Source organism: Homo sapiens, chromosome 10 (genome assembly GCF_000001405.40).
Source record: "Homo sapiens chromosome 10, GRCh38.p14 Primary Assembly".
Classification (NCBI taxonomy): Eukaryota; Metazoa; Chordata; class Mammalia; order Primates; family Hominidae; genus Homo; species Homo sapiens.
Window position 1 is genome coordinate 5,901,718 of NC_000010.11, and position 23,607 is coordinate 5,925,324.

At 45.9% G+C, this 23,607-nt stretch overlaps 1 protein-coding gene across 26 annotated transcripts in view, besides 2 other annotated features; it reads left to right on the forward strand.

The window, feature by feature from the left end:
* The window catches only part of FBH1 (F-box DNA helicase 1), a 48,022-nt gene that overhangs the window by 12,146 nt on the left and 12,269 nt on the right, over positions 1-23,607 (forward strand). For 9 of the 26 annotated variants that reach the window (NM_001258452.2, XM_047425892.1, XM_047425900.1 and 6 more), the window contains 17 exons: positions 1,303-1,458; positions 4,320-4,915; positions 7,208-7,338; positions 7,442-7,577; positions 9,221-9,411; positions 12,030-12,122; positions 12,461-12,552; positions 13,686-13,854; positions 14,517-14,739; positions 15,703-15,790; positions 15,873-15,959; positions 16,625-16,761; positions 19,541-19,640; positions 19,731-19,852; positions 21,904-21,979; positions 22,594-22,791; positions 23,034-23,084. In NM_001258452.2, coding sequence (NP_001245381.1) covers positions 4,385-4,915; positions 7,208-7,338; positions 7,442-7,577; positions 9,221-9,411; positions 12,030-12,122; positions 12,461-12,552; positions 13,686-13,854; positions 14,517-14,739; positions 15,703-15,790; positions 15,873-15,959; positions 16,625-16,761; positions 19,541-19,640; positions 19,731-19,852; positions 21,904-21,979; positions 22,594-22,791; positions 23,034-23,084 — 2,425 coding nt within the window. In that variant the 5' untranslated portion in view covers positions 1,303-1,458; positions 4,320-4,384. Of the gene's footprint in view, positions 1-1,302; positions 1,459-3,551; positions 3,571-4,319; positions 4,916-7,207; positions 7,339-7,441; positions 7,578-9,220; positions 9,412-12,029; positions 12,123-12,460; positions 12,553-13,685; positions 13,855-14,516; positions 14,740-15,702; positions 15,791-15,872; positions 15,960-16,624; positions 16,762-19,540; positions 19,641-19,730; positions 19,853-21,903; positions 21,980-22,593; positions 22,792-23,033; positions 23,085-23,607 lie in introns of those variants that run through there. The other 17 variants (NM_001258453.2, XM_047425896.1, XM_047425901.1 and 14 more) reach the window with 8 other exon arrangements.
* Positions 15,174-16,373: an enhancer, noted in NCBI's record as "BRD4-independent group 4 enhancer chr10:5958854-5960053 (GRCh37/hg19 assembly coordinates)". NCBI's record gives its function as "activates an origin of replication core promoter dependent on BRD2, P300/CBP, MED14 and CDK7 cofactors, and independent of BRD4, by STARR-seq in HCT116 cells {active_cell/tissue: HCT116}" and the evidence as "EXISTENCE:reporter gene assay evidence [ECO:0000049][PMID:35650434]".
* Positions 17,155-17,355: a silencer, noted in NCBI's record as "peak859 fragment used in MPRA reporter construct". NCBI's record gives its function as "represses an SCP1 promoter by STARR-seq MPRAs in K562 erythroleukemia cells {active_cell/tissue: K562}" and the evidence as "EXISTENCE:reporter gene assay evidence [ECO:0000049][PMID:32103011]".

A 23,607-nucleotide genomic window follows, 5' to 3' on the forward strand; every position in this document is an offset into this window, starting at 1 on the left:
CCACACCTGGCTGATTTTTATATTTTTAGTAGAGATGGGGTTTCACCATGTTGCCAGGCTGGTCTTGAGCTCTAGACCTCAAGTGATCCACCCATCTTGGCCTCTCAAAGTGCTGGGATTACAGGCGTGAGCCACTGCACCTGACCTAATTCTTATTTTTTAAGAAGTGTATCTTTACATTTTAGTGTTTCATGCCATAAGGAGGTAGCTAGATCTTACATGCAGTAACAGATGCAGAAGCATGGAGAGTCTTGGTTACACATGGATAAGAATTACCTGAAAGAAGATGAGTAATACAAAACCAAGTATTTCAGTACCGTTGAAACAAAATTCTAGGCGCAATTGTTGCTGTAGTGTTTTGCTAAGGGAAGATATGAAGTTTTCTCCTCTAAAGGTCCTGAAAAGGAATTGGCTTCTCTTCCATTTGGGGGCTGGGGGAGTCGCTCCTGTCCTTTCAAGTCAGTTCTCAATACCAAGGGGCTCGGGGGGCTGAGACATGTGTGCCCTTTGGTCCTTCTTTCAAGGAAACTGCAGCCTGTTTTATTATCATGATGTTTTGCTTCTAGTTATGTGCTTTTCATGTTATGTGCTTTTTACTACAATTAAAAAAAATTTAACCATTTAACAAAAAAGAAAGTTATAAAAGTTTTTTGTTATTTAAAAAAATATATAGCCGATTCTTAAATACTTTTGATTATAATAGAAATATAAATGGCCTGGAGAAAGTTAAGGAACAGATGCCAAACCTCAGTATATCCACTAGTGACAACTTCTTTTTTTGCTGTGTCGCCCAGATTGGAGTGCAGTGGTGCGATCTCAGCTCACTGCAACCTCCACCTCTTGGGTTCAAGCGATTGTCTTGCCTCGGTCTCCTAAGTAGCTGGGATTGCAGGTCTGCACCACCACGCCCAGCTAATTTTTGTATTTTTAGTAGACTTACTAAAAATGTCTTGCCCCCTCCTCCACCTCCCAAAGTTCTGGGATTACAGACGTGAGCCAGCGCGCCCAGCCACAACGTTTTCTTAAATGAGCATTTCATGACCAAGTCTTCTAGAAAGTATAAGTAGAAAAAAAAACTTAAGATCTTAAAATGTCACTTAGGATTCTTCAATTCTAAGGAAGAAAAATGCGAAGAAATTGAAAGGACAAAGTTGGGGGGCAAGGGGAGGGGGGAACGGTTGGCTGGGGTGTTGACAAAATCGTGTCACTATGCAGAAACTTGAGTATAATGTGCTGGCTAGCTTGTAGAATCGGTGATAACTAATGAATATCCCCTTTCTTCTACCTGCTGGTATGAAACAGTGAGACGGTTTAAGCGGAAGCATCTTACTGCCATTGACTGCCAGCATTTGGCTCGGAGTCACTTGGCTGTGACCCAGCCCTTCGGTCAAAGATGGACAAACAGAGATCCGAACCATGGTCTCTATCCTAAACCGAGAACAAAAAGAGGGAGTAGGGGTATGTCTCCTCTAAAACTCTTGCATTTCAAAACCTGTAGTGTGTGGGTCCTTTGACTATCTCCTAGTTTAAAAGTATTTGTAAATGTTGCTGCTGTGAGTTTGTAGTCTTCATGCAATAGCTTGACACTTTTTTTATTGTGAGTTTTCCATGAAGTTTTTTTTTTTTTTTTGAGACGGAGTTTCAATCTTGTTGCCCTGGCTGGAGTGCAATGGCGCAATCTCGGCTCACTGCAACCTCTGCCTTTTGGGTTCAAGTGATTCTCCTGCCTCCGCCTCCTGAGTAGCTGGGATTGCAGGTGCGTGCCACCACCCCCAGCTAATTTTGTTTTTTAGTAGAGACGGGGTTTCTCCATGTTGGTCAGGCTGGTCTCGAACTCCTGACGTCAGGTGATCCACCCGCCTCGGCCTCCCAAACTGCTGGGATTACAGGTGTGAGCCACCGCGCCCCGCCGAGTTTTCCATGAAAATTCTATCCTATTATCATAGTTTGTAAAAGCTGTGGACAAGTGTGATGGAATGAATCCTATTAGCTTGTGTAATTATAAAGTGATAGAAGACATGAGCCAGTGTCACTCTTATTCCAATCCAGAAACACTGAGATTAGTTGACTCTTCATTCATCTTCTCTGTCCAATCTGTCACTAGGTCCATGTGTCATTGTTTTTCCTCCAAAATATTCCTTCATCCTGAGCTCTTTGTCACCTAGGACCTGGACTACTACAGTAACCTTGCTCCTTGACTTCAGATTTTATCTCTGCTAAATCAACTGGAATGTCCCCACTATGTACCAAATGAATTCCCACTTTAGTTAATAAATCTAGATTGCCTTATTTCCCTTTGATACAACTAATTTCAGAATTCAACTCAAATATTATCTGGTTGTCTTTTTTTTTTTTGAGGCAGGGTCTTGCTCTGTCATCCAGGAGTGCAGTGGCACCATTTCAGCTCACTGCAGCTCTGCCTCCCAGCTCAGCCTCCCAAGTAGCTGGGACTTACAGGCGCGCGCCACCATGCCTAGCTAATTTTTGTATTTTTTTGTAGAGACAGGGTTTTGCTACGTTGCCCAGGCTGGTCTCAAACTCCTGGGCTCAAGAGACCCACCTGCTTCCGCCTCTCAAACTGCCAGGATTACAGGTGCGAGCCACCTCTCCCAGCCTGGTTGTCTTTAACTATTGTATGTTTCCTGCTGTGGGAACTACTATAACCAACTGTATGAGGCAGTTTGAAACTTACTTATATCCTGTCTGATACTGAGTTTGTTCCATATATAGAAGTCTGTTTCTTCTCTATTTTGAGTTTTTTACTGACAAGGACTTGTGAGGTGGCCCTGACCACGTGGTGACATCTCAGTGACTGTGGGTGTGACTGGATTCAACAGTTGGAAGATACCAGGATTTGGCTGGGAGCAGTAGCTCATGCCTTATTTGTAATCCCAGCAGTTTGGGAGGTTGAAGTGGGAGAATTGCTTGAGCCCAGAAGTGCCAGCCCAGCCTGGGCAACATAATGAGACCCCGTCTCTATTTTAAAATAATAATAATATTTTTTAAAAAAGAAAATGCTAGGATTTAACCCTGATCATATGGATTTAACCTGTAGTAATAGTGAAGTCAAAACTCTGGGTTTCTATCAGATTGCCCAAGAAACAGTTAACCGTTATAATTTTTTTTTTAAATTTTACTAATATAGAAAAATATCTGTTTCAGTTTCATAAATTTTGTTAAAGGCTAAACCGAGTTTCAGTCCATTCTCTTCCAAAGTGAATATTTTGGATACAGCCATTTAGAAAGGAACTATGTATTATTGATAAAGTGTTTACTTCTTTGGCATTTAAAAATAATTTTTAGGAGTTTGAAAATGTTCCCTATGTTCCTGAAAAGTCTGTGAGGTTTTTCACTTTACATTTGTCTCAGAATCATTGGTGCTTAGTAAATGTTCACTGAACAAACATGTAGAAGAGATTAGGTACCACTCTAACACTATAAAGAGAATTCTGAGTCCCGACTTTTTATTTTAAAAATAAATTAATGTGTCACCTTCACAGGAAGAAATACAAATAAAAGCTGGGCGCAGGGGCTCACGCCTGTAATGCCAGCACTTTGCGGGAGGCCGAGGTGAGTGGATTACTTGAGGTCAGGAGTTCTAGGCCAGCCTGGCCAACACGGCGAAACCCCATCTCTACTAAAATACAAAAATGAGCTAGGCATGGTGGCATACGCCTGTAGTCCCAGCTACTTGGGAGGCTGAGGCAGGAGAATCACTTGAACCTGGGAGGTGGTGGTTGCAGTGAGCCAAGATCACACCACTGCACTCCAGCCTGGGCGACAGAGTGGGATTCCATCTAAAAAATAAATAAATACATAAATAAAAAAGAAATAAAAATAAAAGTTTTAGCACTGTCAAATGAGAAGAGTGAGATTTTCCGAATCCTGATGACCCCAAGCATGTGAATTTCTGCTTAAGCACATGTAGACTTGCTGTTGTAGAGTTAGTGGGAGCGGGGCACTTTGTGAGTGGCGGTGTGGTTGTGAGCAGTCACCTCCTTTTTGTCTGTCCATTCAGATGTTCCCTGTGCAGCGTGTTTCTCTGTACTTGTTTTTACTGCAGGGAGTATTGCTGGCCATCACATCATGTGAAGACTGGTCTCTGTCTCTTTGCAAATGTGTGTCTGGTAATATGATAGAGCCAAATATAAATATTGTTTGGATTAGTTATTTATATAATCAGTTGGCCCATAAATGTGTTTTTATCTCTTTCCACTATTAACATAGATAATTGAAAATTAGTGTGTCTTATATGGATTAACAGCAGGTCAACAGTCATCGTTCATTTCTTGTCCATCCTGTTTGGGTTCTCTCTACAGGTCAGGGAAGTCAAAGATGCATCCCTGAGTTCTTCCTAGCAGGCAAGCAGCCGTGCACCAATGACATGGCCAAAAGCAATTCTGTTGGCCAGGACAGCTGTCAGGACTCTGAGGGTGACATGATCTTTCCTGCAGAGAGCAGCTGTGCACTGCCTCAGGAAGGCAGTGCAGGGCCGGGCTCACCAGGGTCTGCCCCGCCCTCCAGGAAGCGGTCTTGGTCCTCTGAGGAAGAGAGTAACCAGGCTACCGGGACCAGCCGGTGGGATGGAGTTTCTAAGAAAGCTCCACGGCACCATTTGTCTGTGCCATGCACAAGGCCTAGGGAGGCCAGGCAAGAAGCAGAGGACAGTACGTCTCGGCTCTCTGCGGAGTCTGGTGAAACCGACCAAGATGCTGGGGACGTGGGTCCTGATCCCATTCCTGACTCATACTATGGGCTTCTTGGGACCTTGCCCTGCCAGGAAGCACTGAGCCACATTTGCAGCCTGCCTAGTGAGGTCCTGAGGCACGTGTTTGCCTTCCTCCCGGTGGAAGACCTCTATTGGAACCTGAGCTTGGTGTGCCACTTGTGGAGGGAGATCATCAGTGACCCGCTGGTGAGTGAGTGCTGGAGTCGGGAGATGTTTCCTCTAAAAGCACGTAACTTTGCTTAATGCACGCTTATAATCAGAGGATCTTTTCAGAAATGGTTTCCATTTGCCTTCAGAAGACATTCAGACTCCTTAGAGGCATTTAAGGCCTTCCGTGTCTGCCCCACCCTATGACTCTAGCCTCTTTGTTCACTTCCACTCAACACAGCTTCCCTGAGTTCTGTCTACAGCTCATCTGCTGTGCCCTGACCACAGACTGCACATTCCTTCCCCTCCCTGGGTTGCTCTCATCCTCCCACCTTCCCCACCTGGAGGGTTCCTCATATCTCCCTTGACTTCTTTTTTTTTTTTTTTGAGACAGAGTTTCCCACTGTTGCCCAGGCTGGAGTGCAGTGGCACGATCCTGACTCACTGCAACCTCTGCCTCCCAGGTTCAAGTGATTCTCCTGCCTCAGCCTCCCCAGTAGCTGGGATTACAGGCGTGCGCCACCACACCCGGCTAATTTTTGTATTTTCAGTAGACATGGGGTTTTACCATGTTGGCCAGGATGGTCTCTGAAACTCCTAACTTCAAGTGATCTGCCTGCCATCAGCCTCCCAAGTGCTGGGGTTACAGGCGTGAGCCACCATGTCTGGCCCATTTTTTGTTTGTTTGTTTGTTTGAGTGTAAGCATTTATAGCAATAAACCCCTCTCTTAAAACAGCCCAACAGCATTCATTGCATTTCATAAGTTTTGGTATGTTATGTTTTCATTTTCATTTGTCTCAAGATATTTTCTACTTTTCTTTGTGATTTCTTCTTTGACCCATTGGTTGTTTTAAGAATGTGTTTTTTGTTGTTGTTGGTTTTTTTTTTTTTTTTTTTGAGACAGAGTCTTGCTCTGTCACCCAGGCTGGAGTGCAGTGGCTCGACTTTGGCTCACTGCAACCTCCACCTCCCAAGTTCAAGTGATTCTTGTGCCTTAGCCTCCCAAGTAGCTGGGATTACAGACATGTGCCACCATGCCTGGCTAATTTTTGTATTTTTAGGAGAGATAGGGTTTCACCATGTAATCCAGGATGGTCTCAAAGTCCTGGCCTTAAGTGATCCGCCTGTCTCAGCTGCCCAAAGTGCAGGGATTACAGGCATAAACCACTGTGCCTGGGCAAGGGTATGTTGTTTAATATCCATATATTTGTGGATTTTTCAGTTTTCCTTCTGCTATTGATTTCTGGTTACATTCCATTGTGATTTAAAAAGATACTTCATATAATAACTTAAGTGGTTTTTAAGTTTGTTGAAACTTGTTTTGTGGCCTAACAGGTGATCTATCCTGGAGAATGTTTCATGTGCCCTTGAGAGGAATGTATATTTTGCTGTTGTTGGGTGGAGTATTCTGTATATGTTCGTTCAGCCCGCTTAGTCCATAGTGTTGTTCAGATCCTCTGTTTTCCTTATTTATCTTCTGTCTGGTTGTTCCATCCATCATTGAAATAGCAGTGTTGAAATCTCCTTCTATTATTGTGTTGCTGTTGGTTTCTACCTTCAGTTCTGTCAGGGGTTGTTTCCTATATTTAGGAGCTCTAATGTGTGGTGCATATATATTTATAGTTATTATATCTTCTTGGTGAATTGACCCTTTTATCATTATGTCCTTCGTCTCTTATAACAGTATTTAACAGACAGAATTGACTTAAAGTCTGTTTTGTCTGATATTAGTATAGCCACAGCTCTCATATTATTTTGTTCCCATTGAAACCCTGAGTTACGTGTACTAATGTTTCAGACAGGGAAACTGAAGCTATAGTTTTTCCCAGATTCTTTAACTATAACAAGTTAGTGTTAGAACCAAGACCAAGACCCAGTTCTCCTAGTTTCCAACAAAAATTTGTGTAACATTTCTGCCTGATTTTCCTGGCTTTTGAATTGTGAGCTGTGATTGCTTTTCACTGGTAAAAGGTTATCTATGTGTTTGTGGCTTAATCTGCTTTTTTTCTTTCTTTTTTTTTTTTTGAGATGGAGTCTCACTCTGTCACCCAGGCTAGCGTGCACTGCAGTGGCTTGATCTCGGCTCACTGCAACCTCCGCCTCCCAGGTTCAAGTGATTCTCCTGCCTCAGCTTCCTGAGTAGCTGGGACTACAGGCATGTGCCATCATGCCTGGCTAATTTTTGTATTTTTTTTCAGTAGAGACGGGGCTTCACCATGTTGGCCATGCTAGTCTCAAACTCCTGACCTCAGGCGATCTGCCCGCCTCATTAATCTGCTTTCTAATGGCCCTTTGCCTCATGTTATTTTGTTTGTTTTTTAACTGCATAGTTCATTCCTTGGAAGAAGCTGTACCATCGATACCTGATGAATGAAGAGCAAGCTGTCAGCAAAGTGGACGGCATCCTGTCTAACTGTGGCATAGAAAAGGAGTCAGACCTGTGTGTGCTGAACCTCATACGGTGAGCTTTGCCTGTGCTGTAAAGAAGGCGTCTTTGAAGTCTTCCTTGTACATCAGTGCTTATGGTCACCCTACTCATGGCCTCTCCTGTGAATGTCTTACAGATACACAGCCACCACTAAGTGCTCTCCGAGTGTGGATCCCGAGAGGGTGCTGTGGAGTCTGAGGGACCACCCCCTCCTCCCCGAGGCTGAGGCGTGTGTGCGGCAACACCTCCCCGACCTCTACGCTGCTGCCGGGGTAGGTCTGGAGGCTGCGGGAGAAGGCGGCATGTTATTTCACTGGAGGAAAGTGTACTGGTGATTCAGTTCAATTGAGGATGACTTTATATTTATTTTTAATGTCTGTATTTAATCTCTGAATGCTTTGAAGCATTCATGTTGTCATTGTCCCCAGTGGAGAAATAAAAGGCCATATAATTGTAGAGTCTTAGATGTAGATGAAATTTTAACAAATCATTTAGTCTGATTTCCCATTTGGTTGAGGAATCTTCTCTGAAATATTTCTGAAAAGTGGTCATCTAGCCTCTGAACACTTTTAATAATAGGATTTCTTTACAAGACAGCCCACCCCATTATCAACAAGTTTGCTTATTTGAAAGGGACAGAAAAATTAGGGGTCTTGCTATAGTCACACAATGAGGTAATGAGAAGCTGGAAATAACCCTCAGTCTCCTTGAATCTCAGCCCTGTTGCTCCTTTTCCAGTTCAGGGATTCCCAGATTTTATCTTCGAAGCTACGTGCAACCTCTGCGTGTGTTTTACTGGCCACAGAGGGCTGGGAACCCAGGCAACTGCATTTCTGTTTCTCTTGAAGAAGATGATTGCTGATGGTGGTGGAGTGGGTCTTCTTTCACAGGATGGTTGAAGTGAGAGGGGATGGGATGTTCCTTTCTTGGAATGCATTCTTTAACACAGAGACGTGTAGTAACTTAAGAATGGTAAAGGCTGGGCGTGGTGGCTCACGCCTGTTATCCCAGCACTTTGTGAGGCCAAGGCGGGTGGATCACCTGAGGTCAGGAGTTCGAGACCAGCCTGGCCAACATGGTGAAACCCTGTCTCTACCAAAAATACAAAAATTAGCCGAGCATGGTGGCATGTGCCTGTAGTACTGGCTACTCTGGAGGCTGAGACAAGCAAATTGCTTGAACCTGGCAAGCAGAGGTTGCGGTGAGCTGAGATCGCGCCACTGCACTCCAGCCTGTGTGACAGAGTCAGACTTTGTCTCAAAAAAAAAAAAAGATGAAGATCTGTGTCCACTATTGACTGTTTCTGTGTAAGCGAACATTTACAGAGACATTGCTAAGAGGAGCATGCTGTCTTCACAAAATAAACTTTCCATAATTTCATATTTATTTAACTTACAATGAACAGTTATTACTAATAATAAATAGCAAGTTAACACCGTCATGCTGGAGAACTGCCAGATTTTATTTTCCCCACAGCCTGCGTGCGGCCCTCTCCTGTGTCTGCGTCTCTCATGCCTCTTGGGTGGGCGCCCCTTGCTGGCTGTTTTGCTCTGGCCCTGCCAAGCACATATGGACCTGAGAGCCCCCATGGCCTGGAGAGTAGGGTGGGGAGATGACAGGGAGCTCATATTTTTAGACTGTCTCTCTGTCCAAGGTTCTATGTTAGATACTTCATCCGTGTTATTTAATTAAAGAAAACTAAGATCTCAAATCCAAAAGTGATGAGAAGGAGTCCAGGGCGAACAGAAGGGCTCCCCTGTTTCCCAAATACAACTTGGAAAGTTTGGATTCAGTCCAGACAGTCTGTAGCCAGCAGCTGGACCCGTGGCTCGGCTTTCCTGACTCCTTCCTGCTGTGATTCGTATTAACCATGGCCTGTGGGCTGTCCCTCCCTCCCTGTGCACCTGGCTTGCAGGGTGTCAACATCTGGGCCCTGGTGGCGGCTGTGGTGCTCCTCTCCAGCAGTGTGAATGACATCCAGCGACTGCTCTTCTGCCTCCGGAGACCCAGCTCCACGGTGACCATGCCAGATGTCACCGAGACCCTGTACTGCATAGCCGTGCTTCTCTACGCCATGAGGGAGAAGGGGATTAACATCAGCAATAGGTAATGCCCCGGGAGGAGGGGAGGGGATGCTGTGATAATGGGAGAGTCCCAGACACAGCAGCAGGTCCAGCCCTGCCACTTAGCAGTGTTAGCACCTGGCAGGCTGTGGGACCCACCTGCTCCACCTCAGTGTCATCTTCTGCAGGAGCCAGGGGCTGAGAGTTTGATGTGGAAAGGCTGGTAAGAGCGCCTTATGAACGTGCAGTTCTGAGCGGCTGCGAGATACCACTAAGGCTGATTTTACCATCATGGGTCCTGCAGCCTTAGGGGAAGCCCCTCGCCAAGAGAAGCCTTTCTTATTCACCCGTGGCCTCGCTTCCCTAGGAAAATGTTAGGCTCTACTTCCTCCATATCCCACTTGTGGGATGGAAAAGACTCATCCACCTTATCCTCCATGCGGGAGAGGCTATGGCGTGTCGGCTGCTGATTCACAGGGGCCCCGATGGTTTCCTCAGCAGGGTGGGGAGTGCCTGGGGGGTTGTGCATTTGACAAACACTGAACACCTGTGTGTGTCCGACAGTTGTCCACGAGCCGGTCCACTGTGACCGGCTTAGAGGAGTTAGAGGAGATTCCTGATCTAGTGAGGGAAGACAGGTCCTATGTAAGTAAATGTGTGAAATGGCATTTTAGTGAGTAATGAGCATTGCAGAGAAAATAGAACAGAGAGCTGTGGGGTGAATGCTGCTTTAGAGGGGTGGAAAAAGCTTCTCTGAGCAGGTAGTGTCTGAGTGAAACCTGAGTGTGGAGGAGGAACCGCCGTTTCACAACTGTGGGGAGAGCAGTTCAGAGAAGGTATAGATGCCTTAAGGGCCTGAAGATGGGAATGAATTTGGGACATGTGAGGAAGAGAAAAAGTGCAGTGTGGCAAGGGTGGGAGGGAACACAAGATTGTGAAGGATGGACAGGGACAGTTGAGGGATCTTACAGGCCCCGATTAGAAGGTAGAATAAGGCCAGGCTTGGTGGCTCACACCTGTAATCCAGCACTTTGGGAGGCGAGGCGGGCAGTTCGCTTGAGGCCAGGAGCTGGAGACCAGCCTGGCCAACAAGGGGAAACCCCATCTCTATTAAAAATACAAAAATTAGCCAGAAATTTCTGGTGGTGCGTGTCTCTAATCCCAGCTACTCGGGAAGCTGAGGCATGAAAATTACTTGAACCCAGGAGGCAGAGGCTGCAGTGAGCCGAGATATGCCACTGTACTCCAGCCTGGGCAACAGAGTGAGGCTCTGTCTAAAAAAAAAAAAAAAATGTAGAATAAAACTCAGGGTTTGCTGGGCAGCTGGGAAGGGCCTTGTCCCTGAGCTGGAGTGATGGGGACAGGTAGATCAACTGTGCAGCCATCCTGGAGAAGCAGAGACCGTGGGGGCTGGGGGCCGGGGGAGGGGGGTCCCTTCCCCAGGGAGACTGGCCCCTGGAAGTTGCAAGCCCTTAAAGGAAGGTGGCTAGTGGCACCAGGGGAGTGAGTGGTGGCCAGGCATCGGTGGCAAGGTACCAGGAGGGGACAGGATTCCCCAGAAATGTCCAAGAGTTTGCTGATGGCTGCCTTCTTGCCGCATCCCCACAGGGTGGAGAGAACACTGGCGTCTCCTCTTAGGAGGACCCCAATTCTTGTGTATCAGGGCCCTGCCCTTGTACTCTCACCTAACATTAACTACTTCCTTATTCCACACACCACATTGGGGTAGCGCTTCAACACAGGAATTTCAAGGGACACACTTCAGTCCATGGCAGTATGTATGTTGATTTTTGTTGCGTTTCTTTGTTTCTTCCTGTTTTTTCTGGGAGATAATATAATCACATCTGAAATGTTGGATTATTAAAGGTATTTGTTGCATTGGAGAGGTCGAGGCTTGGAGATGGGCTCTTTTCGCTCTGGGGATGGGGGGCAGTGCACTCGATTGTTGGGGGAGCGAGTCCAAGCTCACCCCCGGTCTCCCCCACAGTCCAGGGGAGACTTGGAGAGGCTTTGGAACGGCGTGTGCCAGCTGAGTCTGACGAGTCTGACGATGTCCTGTGCCTCTGCTGATTGAACTTTGTCATCTTTGGTCCCTCTTGGTGACTTGGAGCCTACTGTTTTCAGGTCCTTAGTAGTCAGATCTTGTTATCCATAGTGTAGTCCCTTTTCTTGGGACCTTAAAAGATAGAATGTGTTCATGCGTCTAAAGCAATGTCATGTCATAAGAGGTAGACAGTGGAGCGACCGAGGCTCAGAAAGAGGCTGGTGTTTTATCCACAGGTGTAGTAAGTATCATTCAAACAAGAGTCTCAGTGCTAGGAGCAGTGTTTCCCTTTGCCTTCCACTGGTCCTTACAGTTTTTCAGGTTGTTTGTCTCTTCAAGTCACAGCTGGCGCCCCTCATTCCCTGAAGAGCCCGTCCTGGTCTCTTCCTCCTCTTGGAGATATACATAGAAACTACACCTTTCCCAGGACTGTGTTATCTGAGAATGCTTTGCCAGCCATAGATATATTTAAATCCTTTTCTTTCTTTTTTCCATTAAATGGTGGTAGGTATTTTCTTTTTAGAAATGGGAAGGAGTTTAAATCCATCTGAGGAAAAATAAGATGCAGATTGTGACTTGAATTTGAGACTTTCTAAATCTACTTTTTTTTCTGGTAGGATTCACTACAACATTTTCTATTGCCTATATCTTCAGGAGAATTCCTGCACTCAGGCCACAAAAGTTAAAGAGGAGCCATCTGTCTGGCCAGGGTATGTGTATATGTGCGTCAGCGTGTGTTTTGTCTTCTGTCGACTCTTCCTCATACTTAAGGAGGGAGATGTTTTGCTTCACTTTAGCAACATCATTGAGGTTAATAATGTAAATTGTGTAAAACTCACCCATCCTAAGAGTGTGATTCAGTGACATTGCCTGAGCTGTGCATCAGCATCATAATCTAGCTTTAGAACATGTTTATTCTCGTAAGGGGAGGCCTTTTTTTTGGTCAGCTTTTGTTTATCCAGTTTGTATGTTTGGTTTTTGGACTGTCTATCCCCTGGACTTTTCACGTCTTTCTGTTTTTCTTACTTCTCTTTTGTAATGATTATAGCAAGAAAACCATCCAACTTACACATGAACAACAGCTGATTCTGAATCACAAGATGGAACCTCTCCAGGTGGTGAAAATTATGGCCTTTGCCGGTAAGGGAGCCCACATCAGGTTCACGAGGTGGTGGTTTTCTGCCTTTTCTCCCTACATCCCCTTCCCGCTACCTGCCAGGGCATCTTTGCTCTGATCTGTCATCCAACTAATAATTCAATAACAGATCAAATAATCAATCTCAAAAGCAATTGGCCAAGGAATACTTACTTCCCCGGACCACTCCATGAACATCCACAGAATTCCTGTTGAGACAGGTAGTTCACAGCAGTTAGTTGGTCGGGCAGATGCCCCCGGGATTGAGCCCAGCATTGTGATGTTTGCTCAGGCACTGATTGCTTCTGGAGAGGGAGGGCATGTTAATCCCCAGCCCAGGGTTTCAGGAGCTCCCCAGTTTTATAGGGTGATGTCTAGAGGGCCTGCCTTAGATTGGCTTTTAACTTACATTCATAAATATATTATCTACAAGTGTCCTGCCTCAGTCAGCCACGCCGATCCACTCACAGCCTCCTGAAGTACTTGGTTACTCTTTCATCACAGCCTTTGCTCGTGCTATTTGCTATTTTTTTTCTGCCTGTAATCCCTTCCTGCTCCTTTTGTGGCTAAATACCCTGCTAACAACAACAACAACATTTTGAATGCCTGCAGTGTGCTTGGCATTGTGCTGATCCTGATAGCATTCCGTAAGGTTGCTTAGTTATTCTTGTTTTATAGAGGAAGAAACTGAAGCACAGAGAGCCTTGCCCGGGGTTGAATAAGTGGATAGGTGGTGGAGGTGGAATTCAAAGCTGGACCTGTCTCTCTCCAGAGACATGCCTTCCCCCTCCCTAACCCTACCCTCCTATCCTGAGGGGTCCTTTTTGCCCTCGGGAACCCTACCTCTAATGGATACCCACTTATTTCTGAGAAGCAAACTGAAGCTCATGAGGTCAAGGGGTCCACCTGTCCTTTGCCCCTCGGCTGGAGCCTGCCCCAGCTGAGATCCCAGCCCACCTTCACCTGGCTTTGAATCTGCTGCTCTTTTGGTGGCACTACTTTTACCAGCACTGAAAAACTTGTTACTGTCCTGCTCTCAAGACAGAGGTGTGATAAGCCTGGACAAGGCCTGATTGGGGATCCCTGGGCATGTCTTGTCTGGTCAGAGGGTCACCTCCTTTCCTCCTGGCTTCCCCAGGCACTGGGAAGACCTCAACGCTGGTCAAGTATGCAGAGAAGTGGTCTCAGAGCAGGTTTCTGTATGTGACATTCAACAAGAGCATCGCAAAGCAGGCCGAACGCGTCTTCCCCAGCAACGTCATCTGCAAAACCTTCCACTCCATGGCCTACGGGCACATAGGGCGGAAGTGAGTACTGCTGTCACTAGTGGCACTGTTGCTGCTGGCACGGTCGCGTCTTACTGTTTTCCCGTGACGATCACATGTGAGCTTACACCACAGTGACCCCGAGGAGTGTAGTGCTGTTATCTCCACTTACAGGCAGGAAACAAATACATAGGTTTAGCCATTTGTACTTTTATCCTGTAGCAACATATTGTTTACATATAATGCCGTCTTGCCAAGAGGGGTGTTCTCATGGAAGTGAGGCACAGAAAGTCAAAATGACTTGCTTAAAGTTCAGAGTCTCACAAATCCTGATCAGTTGTAGGCTTTTCTTGGAAGGGAGTGAGGAAGACTCAGCCGAGGCACACTTGACCCAGGTCTCCTGGATGTAGAGGCATCAGGGAACTCCAAGGGTCCCTCCGGGGACCTTCTGGAGCCCAGCTTCATGGTGGAATAGCAGTGTCTGCCGAAAGCTGGTTCCTATTCTGGGTTGGTACATGTGAGTCCTGAAAGCCATTTCCAGTCAGACATGGACCATGCAGAACTTTTTCGCTTTAAAACATTAACACTCGCCTGTGTGTGGCACTTGAAGCTACCTCCTGGTGACATTAGAGAGAATGGAGGGGACGTTCAATAGCACCAAGCCAGGAGAGCCACGTGCTGTTCATTTGGGATGGGTATTGCAGGTACCAGTCAAAGAAGAAGTTGAATCTCTTCAAGTTAACACCCTTCATGGTCAACTCCGTCCTTGCTGAAGGGAAGGGTGGATTCATAAGAGCCAAGCTTGTGTGTAAGACTCTAGAAAACTTCTTTGCCTCGGCTGACGAAGAGCTGACCATTGATCACGTGCCTATTTGGTGTAAGAACAGCCAAGGACAGAGAGTCATGGTTGAGCAGAGTGAAAAACTGGTGAGTGTCTAAGTGTCTGAAGTGTTAGGGATCTGAGGATGGGGGAACAGGGGAAGTGTTAGGGATCTGAGGATGGGGAAACAGGGGAAGTGTTAGGGGTCTGAGGATGGGGAAACAGGGGAAGTGTTAGGGGTCTGAGGATGGGGAAACGGGAAGTGTTAGGGATCTGAGGATGGGGAAATGGGAAGTGTTAGGGGTCTGAGGATGGGGGATCAGGGGAAGTGTTAGGGATCTGAGGATGGGGGAACGGGAAGTGTTAGGGATCTGAGGATGGGCAAACAGGGAGTGTGGGACAGCATTATTTCTTCTTTCATTTCTTCAGACCTGGTCATAGGAGGTTGAAGGTGGGAGGGTGAGGCTGTAGGCCCATGGTGATGGCTGTGAATTGTTGGGTATTTTCTCCTGTGAAGGACACTGGTGACCATCTCACTTAAGCCTCGGAATAGTCCTCCCATTTAACAGAGAAGGCAGACATGGAACGACCCGCCTCAGTTTATAAGAGCTTGTCACTGGGGCTCCTGGACCTCAAAACTGATCTTAACTGAAGGCTGGAATCTCTCCTGATTTTCTTGGGTTATTGGTTCTATGGAATAGATTTTGCTAGTGGGAAAGTCTGTTTCTTTTTTTCATCAAGTCTTTTCAATCATGTGCCATTGTTTTTGTGAATTAAGCATCAGTCATAAATCTAGAAGAACAATTTGGCCTTTTCTGGTTCACCTAACTGTTATGATCTCTGTCCTGTCACGGGCATGGCACGGCCCGGCTGCTTCCTGTCTCAGCACTGGAGACCCTCTGGCGTGGAGAGGCTGTTGAGGAGACCCAGGAGGTTAGGGTGGTGTCTGCGGTCCCCCTTCTGTGAGGATGCCCTGGCTCCACTGCTGTATGGGAGTTGACAGTGTGACCGCAGGGTGCTGCCTTTGCCAGGGTCTCAAACTCTGGGTTACCATATGCTTTACTTCCTAGAATGGTGTCCTTGAAGCGAGCCGCCTCTGGGATAACATGCGGAAGCTGGGGGAGTGCACAGAAGAGGCGCACCAGATGACTCATGACGGTAGGCGGCTGCCGAATGGCGGGGACTGGCCAATGGGACTGCCTTCCTGGCGTTACAACTCCTGCGTCTCTCCTTATTTTAGGCTACTTGAAACTCTGGCAGCTGAGCAAGCCTTCGCTGGCCTCTTTTGACGCCATCTTTGTGGATGAGGCCCAGGACTGCACACCAGGTGATACACTGTTCAGGACATCAGTAGTGTCAAATACGTAGAAACAGCGCCATGATTATGTAAGAGGACACCTGTGTGAACTAAGTTGATTATTATTATTTGTGATAAAGAAGAGGATCTTCATACTTACCTTAGGATTTCAAGCTGCCCCTTCCCCTCACCCAAGCAGATTTCTCTGTCACCATAGGTTTTGCTTAGGTTGTTCTTAACATGTTGACCAAGTTGTAGACCAGCAGACGACAGGGACCTAGACTCATGCTCTGTGGGAAGAGATCGTCCATTGACAGGGAAAAGCTTGTGTTGTCTACTTCTCAAGTGGCTAGGAGAGAACAGACAGTGTTATCCGTCTGACTTTGTAGGTCAATTTTGAGTGCTATAATATTAGAGAAGACACTGCCTCATTTTAGATTTGCCTGTGTTGTTTTCTTATATTCCAACAATTCATCCAAGGCGAAACATAATCTGCATTCCTAGCACCAGAAACTGTTTCTTTTGTCCATTATAAAATGGCTGCTTTTGATGGAGTGTGCCTGTCCTACAGGAAAAGGCGACCGTGAGGTCCAGTGTGCCCTGGCTTAGCTTCGTGGAAGTGTTTTTGTCCTTTTCTTTTTGCTGCCTGGGGTGGAGGCCTCAAGGTTTCTCACTTTTCCTCTCGTTGGTTACAGCTATCATGAACATAGTTCTGTCTCAGCCATGTGGGAAAATCTTTGTAGGGGACCCGCACCAGCAGATCTATACCTTCCGGGGTGCGGTCAACGCCCTGTTCACAGTGCCCCACACCCACGTCTTCTATCTCACGCAGGTAAGTGCGCACTCTGCATGGGAGGCATTGCATCTCTCTCCCAATGTCTTACGTGCCAGGCCCTGTGAAAGGTGGTATGCCAGGCTCACCAGATCTAGCAAATCCTTGCTTCTAAGCCATGGTTCTCAAAGTGTGGTTCTCAGGGGTCTGCCAAGTCACACTGTTTTCATAAGAGGTGTGTGCACAGCGGTCGTCTGAGGAAGAGCTGCTGCGGCTGAACTGTGAACCGATGGCTGCTGCCGCCTTGTACATTTGTGCTTAGAACAGTTGTTAGACCAGCGCTGGTTGTTCAGACTTGTGTATTTGGCACTTTTTCAAAGACAAGTGAAACAAGCTGCGACTTCAGGGAAAATAACTGACAGTGTTTGTTGTCAAAAGTAACATCTTTGCTTTCAAGTGAAATTAAAATGTTGGCAAACTCTCCCATAATGAATGTGACAACTCACAGTGTCCTTGATTATGCGAAAAGTTTATTATGCGCTCCTTCCTTTCCAATCACATGTCTGTGTGAGGTTGAATTTTCTTCATGTGTGTCAGCCAAGACAGTATATCTCAGCAGGCAATGCAGATGTGAACACAGGAAGCCAGCAGTCTTCTGTTATGCCAGGCATTGAAGAGATTTGCAAAAATGGAACATGGTGCCACTCTTCTTGCTGCATTTTTTTTTGTTCTCGGAAATATGTTTCAAAAAATATGTTCTTTATGTCATCATATAAGAGGCTTTTGGCTGGGCATGGTGGCTCATGCCTGTAATCCCAGCATTTTGGGAGGCCAAGAAGGACAGATCACTTGAGGTCAGGAGTTCAAGACCAGCCTGGCCAACATGGTAAAACCCTGTCTCTATTAAAAATACAAAAATTAGCCAGGTGTGGTGGCTCCCGCCTGTAGTGTCAGCTACTCAGGAGGCTGAGGCAGGAGAATCACTTGAACCCAGGAGGCAGAGGTTGCAGTGAGCCGAGGTCGCACCATTGTACTCCAGCCTGGGTGACAGAATGAGACTCTGTCTTAAAAAAAAATAGTTTTTAATAGTTATTTTTAAATGAATTAAAATTTATAATATGGTAAATATAGATAGATAGAGCTCATGTAAATAAAAGCTCTTTGGAGGCTTTTTAAGTGTGATTTTTAAGTGTGAAGCATCCTGAGACCAGCAGTTCGAGAACCACTGCTTTTAAGAAACTTATTTCTGATTAGAAGAGATGTCTCACTTGGATGAAAGTATCAACTGTGCTGTGTTTTGTGATGTTATTGAAAGTTCCGTAGACGCCTCTGTGACTCTTCCCTTGAGCTCCTACTGCTGTGGTGATTTAGGGTAGCGTCACTGCAGAGGTGATTTGTTCTTTTAATAGATGGTATTTTTTTAGAACAGTTTCAGATTTACAGAAAAATCGAGAGGAGAGTTCCCATATATCCTGTACTCAGTTTCCCATTACTAACATCTTATCGTCTTATATTAATGTGGAACACTTGTCACGATAATGAACCAACATTGATACATTATTATGGACTGAAGTCCATGGTTCATTTGCATTTCCTTAGTTTTGAAATAATGTCTTTTGTGACTTCAGGAGCCCATCCAGGATCCCACATTACATGTAACCATGTGTCATGAGGCTCTTCTTGGCTGTGACAGTTGCTCAGACTTTCCCTATTTCTGATGTGACCTTCACATTTTCCAGAAGTTCCAGTCAGGCATTTGTAGGCTGCCCCTGTGCTGGGATTTGTCTAATGTCTTTTCTCATGGTTAGGCTAGAGTCCTGGGTTCTGGGAGGAAGACCACAGAGGTGAAGCGCCATTTTCATCACATGGTGTTGAGGTGCATACTGTCACCATGGCTCATGACTTGATGTTGACCTTGACCACCTGGCTGATGTAGTGTTTGTCAGGTTTCTTCACTGTAGAGTTCCACTTTTTTTCATCCTTTCCTTACTGGATGCTTTGGAAGGAAGTCCCTATATGCAGTCCACACTCAAGGAGTAAGTGTTGGAGAATCTTCCCAAATTATTTGGAATTCTTCTGTAAAGGAGATTTGTTTTTTCTCTCCCATCTATTTAAATATTCAATCATTTATCTATCTTAATATGAACTCATGGATATTTATGTTATAATTTCGGTTATGGTTCACTCAGAGTAGTTTTATAGCAACAAAGTAGTGTTTGTTTAAAGTCTAGTTTTCGTTTGACTGTTACTGCTATTCACCAAAGCACATGAAGTTGTGTGTGCATGGAAAAAGGCTGTACACACCCCGAGTGTAGGGAAGAATGATATCTTGCCAGCTGGAGGGGCGAAGGAAGCAGGGTCTTGGGCTGAGTTTTGAAGGTTAGGAAGTGACTTTGGTGGATGAAAGTCAGACAGAAAACCGCGTGGGCTGAGGCAGGGCAGCACGGACAATGTGCAGGTGCTAGTGCTTCTGCCATGGCTGGTTGGTGCAGGGCAGTAGTTTTAAAGGTAGTGTGGAGAGGGATCTCAAAGGCAAGGGGAGAAGCCCTCCTTACCCGATCTTCATCTTTTGTATGATTTAGACTTCACTAGATTTGATTTGGAGAAAAGGGTAGATTTGCTTAAAAGAAAAATTTACTATTGGTGTTGAGAATAATGGAAAATAAAGACTGCTGAGTTGTGAAGGACCTTGAAAGTGAGCCTGTGAAGTTCGCTTTCCATGCGGGGGGTCAGGAACAACTTGTAGGGTCTGGCCCGGCCAGGCTGTGGCAGCAGTGATGGAAATGCACGGACACACCACAGGGCGGGCTGCTGACTCCCTCTGTCTTGTTGTTTTCAGAGTTTTCGGTTTGGTGTGGAAATAGCTTATGTGGGAGCTACTATCTTGGATGTTTGCAAGAGAGTCAGGAAAAAGACTTTGGTTGGAGGAAACCATCAGAGTAAGGCTTTTAGTTACTCTTCTCTTTTGTGTTACAAAAGTTTTCCTCTTTATTTCAATTTGCCATAGAGTTTGTGCTCTCTCCCTAAAGGTGGCATTAGAGGTGACGCAAAGGGGCAAGTGGCCTTGTTGTCCCGGACCAACGCCAACGTGTTTGATGAGGCCGTACGGGTGACGGAAGGGGAATTCCCTTCAAGGATACATTTGATTGGGGTAAGAGTACATTTCTGTTGACCACTTCATGCACAGAAACGTTGTAGACGAACATACCCAATGGAAATGTTCACCTTCCTTGGGATTATCATGCAAGAAAGCATTTGGGTTTTTGACTCTTTCCACCAGGCTGCACCATGAGTGGTCTCTATCCCAGGCCATTCTGATTATGCCAGCGAAACATTCCTGGAAAGGCAGACACAAGAAGGGCTGGGGACCTTAGTTTCCACTCTTTTAACAATGAATGCCCTTCTTCCCTTGGCAATGCCAGTGAGGCCGCGGGTTACTGGAAGCTTTTCTAGTCATGTGTTGTCATTAGTGTGAGAACAGCTGAGCTGACAACACGCAGAGTACACACCTAGGCTCTAGTTCTGACTGGTCACTAACCGTGTGTGGCTTGGGGCAAGTCACAACTTCTGTATGCCTCATTCTCTCCATCTCAGATAAAATAATGCCTTGCCTTACCTGTTTCACAGGGAGTTAGAAGGATTCAGTGGCATGTTTACAGCATTTTTAACCCTGAAGCACAGTTATATGATAAAAAGATATTCACTCATTCATTTATGGAAAGATTTTCAAGAGCCTACTATGCATTAGGCACTCAGTGAATATAGTAGTGAATCATAATCAAAAGGTGTTTTAAGTTTTTTGTTTATAAAGACTATATAACAATGGTATAGAAATTTTGGAACCTAAAAAAAGAACACATAATCCCAGTATTTCATATAATAATTCTCATTTTTGCTATTTTTGTCTTTGTCCTTATAGATGTGTATTTTTGCATAATTGCAATTGTAGGGTACACAGAAATGGATGCTGTTTTTCACTCAACACATAGGCATATTTTCTTTCATTAGTACTTTGATGACCTTATAATATTTGGTCTGGTAGATATAACATAATTTAGCCATGGTCATTGTTGTAAGAGTAGTATTTTTGGAATATCATACACACTGGCATGATATAAAGTAAGTGGTTCTCTACACCTCTCTTAAATCCACTTACTAGCTGTACCATGTGTCATTACACGTGATCACACACCTGGTTGTGGGTTATAATGTCAACTGTGTTATTTTGCCCGCTGTTTTATGTGAGTGTTTTATGTGTCCCTCCCTAAAAGATGACAAGCTCTTGGAGTGTGGGGCCCTGGTTGTGTCTGTCTTCTATGTGGGGCCTGGTGCTGTGTGAGTGCCGGAGCCCAGCCAGTGCTCAGCAGATGCTTTTGGAAGATCTGAGCTAAACAGGGCACAGTCAGGCTGTCTCCTCCAGGAGCTGACCTGTTAAAATGTAGAATAATCTGGACCTAGAGACGTTCTGTAATTTCTTTTTTTTGAGACAGAGTCTTGCTTTGTCACCCAGGCTGGAGTGCAATGGTGTGATCTCGGTTTGCTGTAACCTCTGCCTCCCAGTTTGAGAGATTCTCGTGCCTCGGCCTCCTGACTAGCTGGGACCATAGGCGCCTGCCACCACACCCGGCTAATTTTTGTATTTTTGGTAGAGACGGGGTTTCACCATGTTGGCCAGGCTGGTCTTGAACTCCTGGCCTCAAGTGATCCACCTGCCTCAGCCTCCCAAAGTGCTGGGATTACAGGCATGAGCCACTGCGCCTGGCCTGTAGTTCTTTTCTCACAAGAAACAGTGGTAAATGTGCATACCCAGCACTTTGTATTCAGGTGCCATTTGTGTTCTTTGGAATCGTCTTATGTTCTTGGAAGATGCTTAAATTGCCTTTTTATTGATGGGAAAGCAGTATGCAGCTGTAGGTCTTGCCCTTTTTAAAAGCGTAGGAAGAGTTTGAGGTAGCAGCTGTAACTTAGAATGTGGTCCCTGTGAGTGTTCAGGCCACGTGGCAGCCTTGCGCTTTCTGCTTCATGAAGTTTCCTGCTTGCCGCCTGTGCTTTGGGTGTCACTCAAGATCCATTTCCAAGAAACCATCTCATTTCAAAACCCCATCCCTGCATTTGCTTTATTTTGTTTTGTTAAAGCAACAACAAACAAAACAAAACAAAAAACAACAAAAAAACAAAAATCCCACCAAAAAACTTTTTCAGGGGATTAAATCATTTGGATTGGACAGAATCATTGATATTTGGATCCTTCTTCAGCCAGAGGAAGAACGGAGGAAACGTGAGTACCCACCTGGCCTTGGTGCATTGGAAGGACGCACCCAAGTGACAGGGACGAGAAAGAAGCAGGCCCAGTCTGAGTCAGGGACCCGTTTCCCTCCAGAGAAGGGCGAGCTAGTGTTGCTGTCTTCCCATGACGAGGGGGGTGCCTCGGGCCTCCTGTTTTCATAGGTACTGACAGATTTTTCCAGATCCTCCTCACAGGAGCCTCAGTCTCTTTCCAACACTGGTCCCATAGACTGTCTTCCCCTGCATCCTTCTGTCTGCCTGGGCCAATTTATACGTTGATACTTCCACGTGGGCCCCAAGTGATAGCGTCGAGCATTTCTATAGCGCTTTTCTTTTCCTGTTGACTGCACTATTTCAAATCCCTGTGAAGTAGGTGAGGATCTTGAGCCGAGGGCTTTGCTCCTCAGTCGGAGACGGAGAGGCTACTGCACTGCACTGACTTGCCCAGGGACACACAGCGAGTTAGTGATGCAGTCAGGCCTGGAACCCGGGTCTCCCCACTTTAAGACCATCTGCTCTTGCGCAGCTGCTTAGGAACGTGCAGCACCTGCCACCATCTGTTAGTGGAGCTTGTGTCACCTTAATTTGTGTGTATATTCTTCTTAGAAAACCTCGTCATTAAAGACAAATTTATCAGAAGATGGGTGCACAAAGAAGGCTTTAGTGGCTTCAAGAGGTATGTGACCGCTGCCGAGGACAAGGAGCTTGAAGCCAAGATCGCAGTTGTTGAAAAGTATAACATCAGGATTCCAGAGCTGGTGCAAAGGATAGAAAAATGCCATATAGAAGATTTGGACTTTGCAGGTAAGGGAAGCAGTTGGTTTTTACCTTCCCCCTAAGAGGAGGAACAGATGGTCTTCTGCTGTTCTTTTTTTTTTTTTGAGACAGAGTATTGCTCTGTTGCCCAGGCTGGAGTGCAGTGGCGTGATCTTGGCTCACTGCAATGCCCACCTTCTGGGTTCAAGCAATTATCCTGCCTCAGCCTCGTGAGTAGCTGGGACTACAGGCCCCACCACCAGCCCGGCTAGTTTGTGTATTTTTTGTAGAGATGGAGTCTCACCATGTTGGCCAGGCTGGTCTCGAACTCCCAACCTCAGGTAATCTGCCCACCTCGACCTCCCAAAGTGCTAGAATTACAGGCGTGAGCCACTGCGCCCAGCCTCTTCTGCTGTTTCTTCCCTGTGTGGAATATCTTTGAGCAAGGATGGCTTTATTGCTTAAGGGAAAGGGGAGCAGAGTCCTGGTTCTTCCTCAGGGGCTCTTTATTCTGTTCTACTTTCAAGCCCGTACAATGGGATTTTCTAGTCCCAGCTCTGCCACGTGTAATGTCAGGCAAGCTGTGCAGCCCTCTTCTGGGCTCTGTCCCTTCATGTGTTAGATCCAGACGGTGGGTGGAGCCACTCTGTCCTCTGGGATGTGATTCCGAGAGGCGTTAACTCTCCTGCAACTAATTTTCGACTTTTCCCCTCGTCTTTTTCTTTTTTCTGTTCCCGACAGTTGTCTGTTCCCGACAGTTGTTTCCTCTTTCCCCCTTTTCCTACAAAACTGCACTGAGGCAAGAAATGTTCGAGTTCAGAGTCAAGTGGGAAACATGTATGTTTTTGTCATCTTGTTTCTTTC